The 12,579-nt window shown below is 47.8% G+C and overlaps 1 long non-coding RNA gene across 1 annotated transcript in view, besides 2 other annotated features; it reads right to left on the minus strand.

Annotated features, from left to right (window-relative positions):
- ETS2-AS1 (ETS2 antisense RNA 1) overlaps positions 1-1,147 on the minus strand; it is a 61,139-nt gene extending 59,992 nt beyond the window's left edge. Inside the window, exon 1 of the long non-coding RNA NR_120405.1 lies at positions 528-1,147. This is a non-coding gene — a long non-coding RNA (ETS2 antisense RNA 1). The remainder of the gene's footprint in view (positions 1-527) is intronic.
- Positions 7,181-7,879: an enhancer, noted in NCBI's record as "H3K27ac-H3K4me1 hESC enhancer chr21:40316387-40317085 (GRCh37/hg19 assembly coordinates)". NCBI's record gives its function as "activates a minimal SCP1, AML or CMV promoter by ChIP-STARR-seq in naive H9 embryonic stem cells {active_cell/tissue: H9 hESC(naive)}" and the evidence as "EXISTENCE:reporter gene assay evidence [ECO:0000049][PMID:30033119]".
- Positions 9,255-9,383: a silencer, noted in NCBI's record as "fragment chr21:40318461-40318589 (GRCh37/hg19 assembly coordinates)". NCBI's record gives its function as "represses an EF-1alpha promoter that drives an FKBP-Casp9 reporter gene in an ReSE screen in K562 erythroleukemia cells {active_cell/tissue: K562}" and the evidence as "EXISTENCE:reporter gene assay evidence [ECO:0000049][PMID:32094911]".

The raw sequence follows: 12,579 nt of genomic DNA on the forward strand, positions 1-12,579 counted from the left end.
AAGCCAGTCCCATGAGTGTGGCCAGGGCTCTGCACCCATGGCAATCTCAGGCACGAAATATGCATAGCTGTGTGTGGTCAAGGTGGCCTGCCCTGGGATGTCAGGGCTCTGCACACATGCACACACACACAGACACACACACACACTCACTCACTTAACATGATGCATCTCTTTGAATCCTCACAACAACCTTTGCTATGAATTGGTGATTCCAAACCACCCCACTGTACAGATGAGTGCACTGAGGCTCTGTGGGCTAAAGTCTCCTATCTGAACAATCAGCTCATGACGGCAGAGCTGACATTCCTCTCCCATGAAGAAACCACAGGCTTCTCACACCAACCCCAAGACAGGAACATCAAGGACACACCTCAAGTCTACGCAGGTCCCAAGACTCTCTTCCAATCGCCATGCATTTCTGTCTATTTGTCAGGGAGCTGGTCTTTACTGTCTTCATCAAAGGTAAGGAGGTAAGGGTAAGAGGTTACTGTTGCATGTAAATACATCTGGAAGAGCCTTCCACCCACCTTATTGCAAAATAGAGACTGTGGGAGGGAACAGGCCTCTGCAGTCCCCCCCTGTTGCCTTTGCTCATGTGAGCAGAGGCTCCCCTCTCTCCACGTAGACACAGGTGTTCATCAGGGCTCAGGGATACTTCAAGGAGCACAGGCAGGCTCTTGTATCCTCTTCTGGGTGCTTGGTGCAGGGCACAGCCTGTGCAACTGTACATAGCAGCCCTGCGATGAAAGAGGAGACCAGCCTTGGGTGCTGTGGGCTGGAAGCAGCTTTTGCTCTGTCTGGTTTTGCCAAATCTGGTGCCAGGCTCAGAGCAGGGAGAGAGACACAGTCAGCCTACTTCCAGCACTGGCAGCACATCTGTCCAAAGAGAAACATGTCTTTTCCTAGCACAACCAGCAGCACCAGAAGCACCTCTCCTAATCTGTCAACCGTCTCTCTGTTTTTCTCCTCTCTCTCTCTGCCTCCTCCCTTCTTCCCCCTCCATCTATCTCTGTGACTTTGTCTCTCTCCATCCCTCTCCCCTCCTCTTTCTGTCTCTGTGACTTTGCCTCTCTCTCTCTATCACTCTCTCTGTGTCAGTGTCTCCCTCTGGGTCTCTGGGTCTCTGTCCCTCCCCAGTAGGTTCTATTTAGATTTGTTGTGACAAATTGATGTCATATTCACATAGATGGCATTTTAAAACCACAGAGGTCTTCAGAGCCAGAGCTTCATTCACACTGCAGGCCAGGGACACTGTTGCCATGGTAACATGACTCTCCACTTCCTGCCTTACCCGGGCTCCCGCATTCAGCATCACCTTCATCTCCCTCAGCAACACCACAGATGATTAAATAAAGCACTTTAATTAACTCGGATTTGGTGTGGGGTCTTCATCATCGCTGCTGGGAACAAGCGTTTGTAAACCCTCGGGGCTACATGTGCCCCTCTCCGAGGCAGTCTGTGAACCCACACTGGCCACTTCTCACAATTTGGGCTATAGGAAATTTATATCCAAGTAGCACTTGATGAGATTCTAAGGTAATAGCCACAAGCCACCTCCTTCACAAGGCGTGAGCTTCCTTCGTCTGCCGAGACACATTAACTTCATGTAAATTATAATGTCTTTGAGACGAAAATGTCTTAGTCTGTTCAGGCTGCTATCACAAAATACCATAGGTGACTTATGAACAACAGAAATGTATTTTCTGCAGTTCTAGAGGCTGGAAGTCTGAGATTAAGGCGCTGGCGGAGTCAGTTCTGGTGAGGGAGGCTTCCTCTCCGATGGCCTCTGCTCACCCTAACTTCACATGGGAAGGGGTGAGGGGTCTCTCTGGGGTCTCTTTCATGGGATCACTAATCCCGGTCATGAGGGTTCTCCCCTCACCACCTAGTCATCTCCGAAAGGCTCCACCTCCTAATATCATCACCCTGGGGGTGTGGATTTCAGCATATGAATTTTATGGGGACACAGATATTCAGATCATTGCAAAAATCAATGCATTATTAGGCATGGCCAGGGAGAATCGACTGTGGATCTTTTAGATAAAGGGGCTCTGGTGCTGGGGTGACAGACCTGCCTTCCTGGTTTTCACCCTAGAAGCAGGCAGGAAGGAGAAGGAATGAAGGGAAGGGGGAAGGAATGACGCAGGCAGGGGCCTCTAAACCTGGATCCAGGAACTTAAAGGGTAAAAATTACATTTTTATTTTCGCTAGCCTTTAACTGAAATGTATCATTTCCTTTCAATAGGTACCTAGGCAACAAGCACAGTGGCGTGTTAGCATCCTTGTGACTTTGACACCAGTAAAAATCACTGGATCATCTCATTCCATGTTATGCCTGTCCACCACTTATGCCCATCACTGCTTCAAAATTCCCAGGTTATTAGTACCACCTCCGAGGCTTGTTATAGATCTGGTTATGGTATATTAATAGCACATGTGTTGCTACCTCATTCATTGTTTTATAATGGTATCTTAATCTTAATGTAAGTGGTTTCCTTTATAACCTGTGTGTTTTATTTTGTGCATTCAAAAATCTGATTCTGAAAATTGGCCCACAGGTTTCACAGACTGCCAAAGAGGTCCGGGGGCATAAATGGCTCCAGAAAAAAAAAATCTAGTATTATTAATATGGTCCATTATTATTGGTGTTATTGCCATTCATAGGTGTTAGACATTGGCCCCTCAATAAAAAGGATATGTATCTATATCGATCAATCAATCAGATAGATATAAAATTCTGAAGATATTTATAGAAGATATACAGGTATCTATATCTACCTGTAGATATGGATAATTTGTTTGCCAAGAAAATTGAGGATTTCAACATTTATTTATCTCTATTTTTTTTTCCATTGAAGTCCTCAAAAGTGATGCCAATATGACATGTGGAAGTGAGAACTTGGGAAGCTGGCCTGGGATTTCTAGTGGGAAAAAGTATATTTTAAAAATTAAGGGCCGGGTGCGGTGGCTCATGCCTGTAATCCCAGCACTTTGGGAGGCTGGGGGACAGATCACCTGAGGTTGGGAGTTCGAGACCAGCCTGGCCAACATGGAGAAACCCTGTCTCTACTAAAAATACAAAATTAGCTGGGCACAGTGGTGCATGCCTGTAATCCCAGCTACTCATGAGGCTGAGGCAGGAAAATCGCTTGAACCCGGGAGGCGGAGGTTGCAGTGAGCCGAGATCACGCCATTGCACTCCAGCCTGGGCAATAAGAGTTAGATTCTGTCTCAAAAATAAAAACAAAAATAAAAAATAATAATAATAAGACCCAAGGCATGAGAGGATAATACAAGGCTCATTACAGACCACAGAAGCCATTATGCCTGTTACTTAAAATCTAGGCCTGTTTCAATTCATTCTACCAAAGTAGACACTGAAGCAGGAATACCACTCTTTAACATAAACGGACACACACAAAGGCCCAGAACCAGTGCCAAGAGTTTTGCACCCATTAATTCATTCCATCATTTGTTTATTTTATTTGACAAATGTGCAGATAGTACTTACCATGTGCCAGGCACTATTCTAAGTGCTTCAAAAGCATTATCCTATATAACCCTTTAATATGGTTTGGGTCTGTGTCCCCACCCAAAGCTCATCTCGAATTGTCATCCCCCTAATCCCCACGTGTTGAGGGTGGGACCTGGTGGGAGTTGATTGGATCATGGGGGTGGCTTTCCCCAGTGCTGTTCTCATGATAATGAGTGAGTTCTCACAAGATCTGATGGTTTTATAAGTGTTTGACCGTTCCTCCTATGCGCACATTCTCTCTCTTTCCTGCTGCCATGTAAGACATGCCTCTTTGCCTTCTGCCATGATTGTAGGTTTCCTGAGGCCTTCCCAGCCATGCAAAACTGTGAGTCAATTAAACCTTTTTCCTTTATAAATTACCCAGTCTCAGGTATTTCTTTATAGCAGTGTGAGAATGGACTAATACAACCTTATAACAATAACAAGAGGTAGGTACTATTATTGTTGCAGATTTTCAGATGAAGAGCTAAAGCACAGAGGGTATAGAAACTTGTGAGAAGTTCCTACAGCAAGTAATTGGTGGAGACAGCATTCAGCCCCTAAGCCCACCCACCGCGGGTATTTTGGGAGGCTTGTCACACTGGCCTTCCTGCTTCTGGCTCCGCCTAGTCTTCAACAGCTAAAGGTAGGATTCAAACCTAGGTGGTCTGAATGAGGGCACTGATATGGTTTAGCTCTGTGTCCCCACCCAAATCTCATCTTGTAGCTCCCATAATTCCCACATGGTGGGAGATAATTGAATGATGGGGGCAGTTTCCCCCCTACTGTTCTCATGGTGGTGAATAAGTCTCACAAGATCTGATGGTTCTATAAGGGGTTTCCACTTTTGCTTCTCTCTCTCTCTTTGCCTGCTGCCCTCCATGTAAGACATGACTTTCTCCTCCTTGCCTTTCACCATGATTGTAAGGCCTCCCCAGCCTCATGGAACTGTGAGTCCATTAAACCTCTTTCTTTTGTAAATTGCCTAGTCTTCGGTAAGTCTTTATCAGCAGCATGAAAACGGACTAATACAGGCGTGAACCCTATCACCACTAACTTGTCAGGGCATTGTCCAGGTGGGGAAACAGGCATCCAAGAGTACAAGGAGATCAGTAAGATCCTGCCCTGGGCTCCTCAGGAAACCCTCTGTGTGTCTTACCACCCATCCATTAATGCGAGGCAAAGAGGAAACTCACACTTTCCTAACTTTGCTTATTTTTCATCCTTCAAAGGACAGCTCTTGTGCAGATCCCAAATCAACATCAGATGAAAGTATGGGAGCAGCATCTAATCAGCCATCTTGACTCGGGTGGCTACTTAACAGCCACCTGCCCTGACCGGTCCTTCATTTGCAAGCAAGGCTGCTGCTCAGCATTCTCGCCCACTCAGTGGTTAGTTCTGAGAGCCACATATTGACCAGTAAGCCCATCTGCACAGCCCCTTGGAATTGGGTCTAAGCCATCACTTCATTCTGATGATGGAAAAGCAGGAATGTGGAGTCTGAGTGACTTAGCCCTGGCTCGGCAAGATCTGAATTCAACTCAATCCTCAATGCTTCCTTCTCCCAAGAAAAGCCTATGGTACTCCTTTCTAAAAAATCATTCCTGCTATGAACTGACATACAATAAAATGCATCCATTTTTATTTGCACAACCCAACGAGCTTCGACAAAAGTAAACATACATGACCATCACAACAATATAGAATTGTCCCGTTACCCCAAAAAGTTTTCTACATGCCTTTGCCATCATTCCCACTCCTGGCCCAAAGCAACATGGGAGATTTGACTTCCCTTTTCTAGAACTTTGTATAAATAGAATCAGATAAAACTTCGTAGACATGGAAGCTAGAGACAACGCTGTCTGTGCATTGACTGTGTGCTGTGCTCCAGGGAGGTTGGGAGAATATTTACATCAATGCCGTTTGAAGGCGCTTCTCCACCCTAACTAGGTGCACGTCTCATGAGCTACCTGTGAGAGTCTCATTGACACAGGAATGACAAGATAGTGTGCTCTTTGTCCTCCATGCACTGAGAACCCAGCACAGCCTTCCACACACAGCTTCCCCCACCTACATACACCTGTCCCTTAGCAGTCTGGTTGCTAGGAAACATCCACTCTATTTCATCTTTACACATAACATGCCGTATTTCCCTAAGCCCCCAGAGTGGGCTCTTGTCACTTCCGTTTCATTTCTCCCTACTCAGCCCACATCTCTCCCAGGGCTCCCCATAAAGCACATTCCCACTAGAGGAGCAAAAGCTGGAGGTTCCTCGTTTCCTTTTAGGTGAGCATGAATGAAACACGCGGGGGCTGCTGTGGGAGAGAAGAATCTCACAGAACATCTTGGTTTAGAGCATAGGCAGGCAGGCACTGAGCCCTGGGTCGCCCACTCTTGGATGAGAGAGCCTTGTCTTTCTGAGCCTGGCTTCCCCCATTAAAAAACCCAGGCTAAAAGTGGTCCCCATCTCCAAGAACTGTGAGGGGACCATCACTCCCATGCCTTGCATGGAGCATGGCTGCCCAGTCAGGATTTACTGCTGTCAACGCCCACCTCACTATGCCCACGTGTGGCATCAATGACGGTCAATGCAAAGGACCTGCCCTTGTCAAGCTCAACTCAGGGTTCCCTTTATAAAAGCATCATGCTGGCCTCATGTGGTGGCTCAGGCCTCTCATCCCAGTACTCTGGGAGGCCGAGGTGGGAGGATTACTAGAGCCCAAAAGTTTGAGACCAGCCTGGGCAACATAAAGACACCCTTTCTTTACAGAGAAAAAAAAAAAAAAAAGCCAGGTGTGCTGGTGCACACCTGCGGTCCCAGCCACTTGAAAGGCTGAGGTGGGAGGATCACTTGAACCTGGTAGATGGAGGCTGCAGTGAGCTGTGATTATGCGCTTGCACTCCAGCCTGTGAAATACAGCAAGACTCTGTCTCTAATAAAAATTAAAAATAAAAATAAATTAAATTAAAGCATAATGCTCAGGAAAATAACACCATATCTTTTGTTTCAGACTTTGGTAGGCAGAACAGTCCCCAAAGATGTCCACGTCCTAATCCCGGAACCCATGAATACATGAATACACTTTGTTACACAGCAAAAAAGACTCTGCCAAAGTGATGAAGGCAATTTCTTCATCTCCCTTTTGAAAGGGCGATCGTCTGGGATTCACCAGAGAGTCCCCAGGAGCTCGGGATGGCTCCCAGCTCTGACAGCAAGGAAGGAAACAGGGTCTCAGCCATATAGCCACAGGGAACCAGAGGCTGGCAATGGCCTGGAATGGTTTAGAAGTAGATTTCCCGGAGCCTCCTGATGAAAGCCCAGCTGGTCAACCCCAGGACGGTGGTCTGTGAGAGCCACAGGAGAGAAACCAGCTGAGCCGAGTGGGCCTTTGGGCCTACAGGCCTGTGTGACAGGACAGTGGTGGGAGGGAGCCATCCGCCTCTGCCCACTGCCCTCTGTGACTCCAGCGCACTCGGGGTCCCACTTCCACACCCTCTGCAAAGGCCCTCGCAGCCTGCCCGTGTCTCCGCCTCCTCCCCAAGGTCTCCCCTCCCGCCTGCTCCTCCAACAGATGGGCCCCTGGCTTTGCACTACTCCTCTTTTCCCTTCCTCAGGACTTTATTTTTATTTTATTTTATTTATTTTTATTCCGGTACCACCTCTCAGTGAGACCCACTGTCACCCCATCAGCGCCCTCTCCACCCTCCCCTGCTTTACTTCTCCTTATCATCCAGCATGCATCTATTCACCAATATATTATTTATCGCCTGGCTTTTCTACTAGGCAAATGATTCTCAACTGGCGGTGACATCGCTCCTCACTTCTCCCGGGGGACAGTGGGCAGTGCCCGGGGTCACTTTTGATTGTCACAATTGGAGGAGGCCCCTGACATCTGGTGAGTGGAGGCCAGGGATGCTGCTTAACATCCTTCAATGCACAGGAAGGCCCAGCCACAAAGCACGATCCAGCCCAAAACGCCGGCAGTGCCTCGGCAGAAATGTCACCTCCTACACCATCAACTCTGTGAGAGCGGGGATTTGTTTGTCACGACTGCGTCCTGGTGCCCAGACCAAAGCCTGCACATCACGGTGCTCCGTGGATGGGTTTGAAGGAGCGGACCTGGACCAGAGCGTGCTGTAGGCCACAGTCAGTGCCGGCCCACCCAGAACTGGCCACTCAGCGGTTACCCATCTCTATCGCTTTCTTTCCCAGAGTCGGAAACTTGGAACCACTTTCAACTTTTCCTCTTCTGCTTCCCCTCTAGGTTCCACAGGGGGGCCTCGCTGCTGGGCAGGGGCCTCCGGGCTCCTCCATCCTCCTCCGCCCAGCTCTGCCCTCCCAGCGAGGAATCTCCTGTGGAACATGGTGGGATCTCATTGTCCCTGCTGCAGGAAGTGGAGCAAAGAAACCGAGGTAGGGGGCCAGGTTCAGTGGCTCATGCCTGTAATCCCAGCACTTCGGGAAGCCGAGGTGGGCGGATCACCTGAGGTTAGAAATTCAAGACCAGCCTGGCCAACATGGTGAAACCCCATCTCTACTAAAAATACAAAAATTAGCCGGGGTGGTGGCACACGCCTGTAATCCCAGCTACCTGGGAGGCTGAGGCAGGAGAATCACTTGAACGTGGGAGGCGGAGGTTGCAGTGAACCAAAATCGCACCACTGCACTCCAGTCTGGGCGACAGAGTGAGACTCTGTCTCAAAAGAAAAAAAGAAAGAAAGAAACCGAGGCAGGGCCATTTCTCTCCCTTCCTGCAGTTCCCTCCCTTTCCTTCCCTGGCTTACCTGGTGTTCATCAACATTCCAGAATTCTGCACTGAAGGAATCCCATGCAAGTCTGTCTCACAGTGGGAGAGCAAGGCCCCTTTTTTATTCACGCGGGCTCTGGGATGACCAGGGTCAGCATAGCATGATTTACACACGCTGCTTGAACCAAATCAGTGAATGGAACAGCCCTGGAGTCATTGTAAACAAACCCAGATTCGCTGGACGCCCGCTGAGCTGAAAACCACAGGAAGAGGAGAGAAGACATACAAACCTCTTTCTCAAATGAGACTTTCTCCCAGAACCTAATGTTCGGGAAAAATCTTCCTAATTACTCGTTAATTGGCATATTATCAGCACTTTGTGCCAAGGATTAAGTGGGTAATTCCCATTATTTCTAGAGAGCAAGGTAATGCATCCACTCAGCCAGGCAGAGTGCGCGCAGCTCTGGAACTGTCACCACTGAGGCCTGCGGGCAGCCCCGTCCACGAGCCCAGTCCTCAGCCCTGCGGAAACGCTGGCTGCGCTGTTGAAGCCAACTCCTGAGACTTGTATTTTTCCGACAATGTGAAAAAACATTTCATCATTCAGCCTGATTTTCATTTCTCACTTCTTGGGTATACATTTTTTGAAAATGGATTTTCCTCTTAAAGAATAATTTATTGTGTAAGTCAGTCTAATTCTCCTGCTCCGGAACTTTGTGTTTTGAACCTCTTGGTCATTCAAGTAAGAGCACTGGGGTAATTTTAGCATTGCTAATTGGCTCGATAAAGAAATGTATTTTAAACAACTATGATTCAGCACTTAATCACAGCATTTGATGATATTGTCATTACAAAAACCTCTATTCTCCATTAAAAATAATTAAACCATCTTAAAGTTTGACCATCCTATGTTGGCCTAAACTTTCTATATTTCCATATTACTCAAATGTTTATGGACAAGAGAACTGTGGTACATAAAGAGAGAGAGAGAGGGAGAGATGGAGAAGGAGGGAGAAGAGAGCACGCACCCTGGAACTTGGGTTTAAGTCCCAGCTCTTCCATCTGCCGACTATGTCTGCAGAACAGTCCTCACCCTCTGAGACCATTTCTTCTTCTCTGTGGGGAGGATGTGCTGGGACCACAAGGTATCAGGACAGCCCTGTCCCCAGGGGTAGGGAAGAATGACCTCAGAAGGAAATGAGAAGGAAGGGGCTCTGGGATCAGGCAAGGGTCTAGCAGGGTGTACCAAGCACTCCTGTAGGGCAGGAGCCCCAGGGACATATGTGGAAGCCCATATATCTTGGGGAATATGTGGAAGCGCATATACAAGAAATGATCCCTCTCCTTCCTGGGTGTCTGCGCCATGGGACATGCTCTCGGAGGCAGCTTGCCAGAAGGGCCACCAGTCTCCAGTCACTATTCAGGCAGCCCTCTACTTTAGCCCCCAAAACTTTTAAAAGGTAAAAGTCTGAAAGTCCAAGAATGAATTTACCTATTTTACCAGTTAGGATCGGGTTGACTGCAAGTATCATAGATACCAAATCACAGTGGCTTAAACAACACGGGACTGGGTTTGGCTTCATTTTCCCTGCAAAGTGTGGCAGAAATGATCCAGCTCTTTTTCACCGAGCCTGCAGGACCTGGCCTCTTCATTCTTCCACTTGGCCCCCTCTAAGGTGAGGTCCTTGTCTCATGGTCCAAGATGGCACCCAGCCACCACATCTGCGTCTGCATCTACAGTGGGGTTTGTTGTTGTCACCTCATTGGCCAGAACCAGCCACATGTCTTCACGTAGTTTCACGGGAAGCAGGGAAACATAGTGATTTCTTCTAGGCAGTCATGTGCCCAGCCAAAAATTCCACGCTATGGAAGAAGATCTGGGGGAAATATAGCAAATTCTGCCTCTCATATTAGGGTGTAAGGAAGTGGTAGTTCTGTTTCCAGAAAACAAAAATGCCTGTAATGATGGTTTCATAAGTGCTGGCAACTCAGTAGGAAGGGGAGAGCAGCAGGAGAGCCTGGCCAACGGAGGTTGGTGCTGGTGTCACCTCCCTCCATCTCTCCTTTCTGGTAGCCAGTGCATCTCCCCACACCTCTGGAGAGGCCAAGACAGGCAGATGGGCAGCCATGTCCCCTCTACATGGACGCATTGGGTGCCTATAGCCAGGCTCGAGCAAAAGAGTCTGTCTTCTCCATTTTCCACAATGCAAGCCTTGTGGGGCTTCATCTCCAGTCCCTCCCCTCAACAAGCTCCCTCTGCAAGCCCTTTACCCTGAAGAGCGTCCACGGCATTTAGGGCTGCACAGGTCTTTGTTGAGGGAGCTGTCTTGGGCACTGTAGGAGGCTGAGCAGCACCACTGTCCTCTACCTACAAGATGCCAGGAGCACCCCTCAGTGTGACAACCAAAACTGTCTCCAGAAGGTGCCAAATGTCCCCTGGGGGGTAAAATTACACACACACCCTCCCTCAATGAGACTCACTGCCACAAACCCGGGACCAGCTATGTCTCCATCTCCAGGTGAAGCACCGATTTCCATAAGACACAAAGAAAGGAGGCAGGGCTGGAACCTCCTCTATCTGCAGTAGGGATGGTGTTTGTTGATGAAGGGGCACAGGATCTCAAAAGAAAAGGTGGGAAACTGGGGAGAGAGAGAGGCAGATAACAGAGGGAGTGCCACTAGAGACATGCTCATTTGGAGACCTCGGACTAGAGCCATGGCTGCCATGAGATGCAGGTGGCACAGGCGACACACCCCTTGCAGCACTTCCCACGTTTCATTATAATCTCGTTTCTTCAGTACCTTCTGCCTCTACAATTATGAGCTCCTCAAGGGCAGGTCTGGGTCTAGGTCACTGCTGCATCCCCCGTGCTAGGCAAGTACTTGACCCTTCACTGGTGCTTAATATTTGATGAATCAATGAATGAATCAATGGGTGGTTACTTATTTCCCCACTAAAGGGACTGTTTCATATCAAAAATATGTGGTTTAAACAACACCAGGCAGAAGGCACTCAACTATGTAACATTTCCATATGCCAGGCACTAATCCAAGGGCTTTGTATGAAGTAGCTTATTTCATTCTCAAAGCAACCCAAGGAGGTGGAGTACTATTGTTACCTCCACCTCCAGGAAGGAGAGTGAGACACAAAAGTTAAGTAACTTGCTCAAGGTCATATCGCTAGTAAGTGATAGAGCCAGGATAGAAGCCCATATCAATCATTTACTCCCAGGTTACGTGGATTTTTCGATATTTACTCTGCAATACTGCCTTTTTGTCAAACAATAATACAATGCTGACATGTGTTGCCTGTCCTGCCTCCTTTCCTTCCCAAACTGCTCTCCCTCCCTTCTACACAGGTCTCTCCAGTGGATGTCATGGCCATGTGATCCACTTCACCCACCCTAGAAGTGGGCAGTCACTCAGGCCTATGAAATTGTCCCACCCCAGTCCCACCCCCACACACTGTGATTGGCCCAGAGCTGGCCCAATCAGAGTTCTTTGGGGGAACTGAAATGGAGCTTAAGGTAAGAGGTCACACTTGGTCTGGAGGTCCTACTATGTAGTCACAGAAATTACTAGGGACCATCTTGAAGCCATATGAAGAAAATCTGTGAAACTGAAGATAAGCAGAGGCAGCTACAGCTGAGACAGTTGTCTCGATGATGTCATCTGAGACTCTGGATCCAGCTGGACCCAAAGCCCCTCCTTTCCTTCTGCCTTCCCTTTTTTCTTAAGCCAGTCTGAGCTCAGTTTTTGTCACCTGCATCTGAATAAGTCCTGACCCAAACAAATATCTAGATAGTATTAGTTGACTCTATGAAGGCCTAGTATCTATGGACCAAAATGGTCTTGATTTTATTTAATTTCTATTAATTGAGTGAGATGCTCTTTAATCCAGCATTTGCATCTCCTCAGCATGAACATGAAGAACAGAAACAAGGGCAGACCTTATTTCAAAATGGAATCTCAAGATATGTTTGGCTTCCGGGGGAAAAAAAATGCCTTATTGACTTTAGCATGAAGGATGGGCTTCGTGGCATCTTCACCCCCAAGCATCAGTGCTCCGTGCTTGTTCTGAACGACAGAACAGGGCCTCATCCATACCACTGATTCAACACAGAATGTATGGCTCATTTCCTTTGCTTCAGAGAAAGCATTTAAATGGTAAGATTGGTGAAACTCTCAATGACTTTTGCATTTTCAACACCTTTGTAAGATCTAACTCAAGGCTGATAGCATACATGCTCAAGAAGTAGTATTGATTGATTGAAAGAGCATAGGTGACAGGTGTCAGATACATGAGATGGTTCTTTG

The sequence above is a fragment of the Homo sapiens genome, chromosome 21 (assembly GCF_000001405.40).
Source record: "Homo sapiens chromosome 21, GRCh38.p14 Primary Assembly".
NCBI classification, from domain to species: Eukaryota; Metazoa; Chordata; class Mammalia; order Primates; family Hominidae; genus Homo; species Homo sapiens.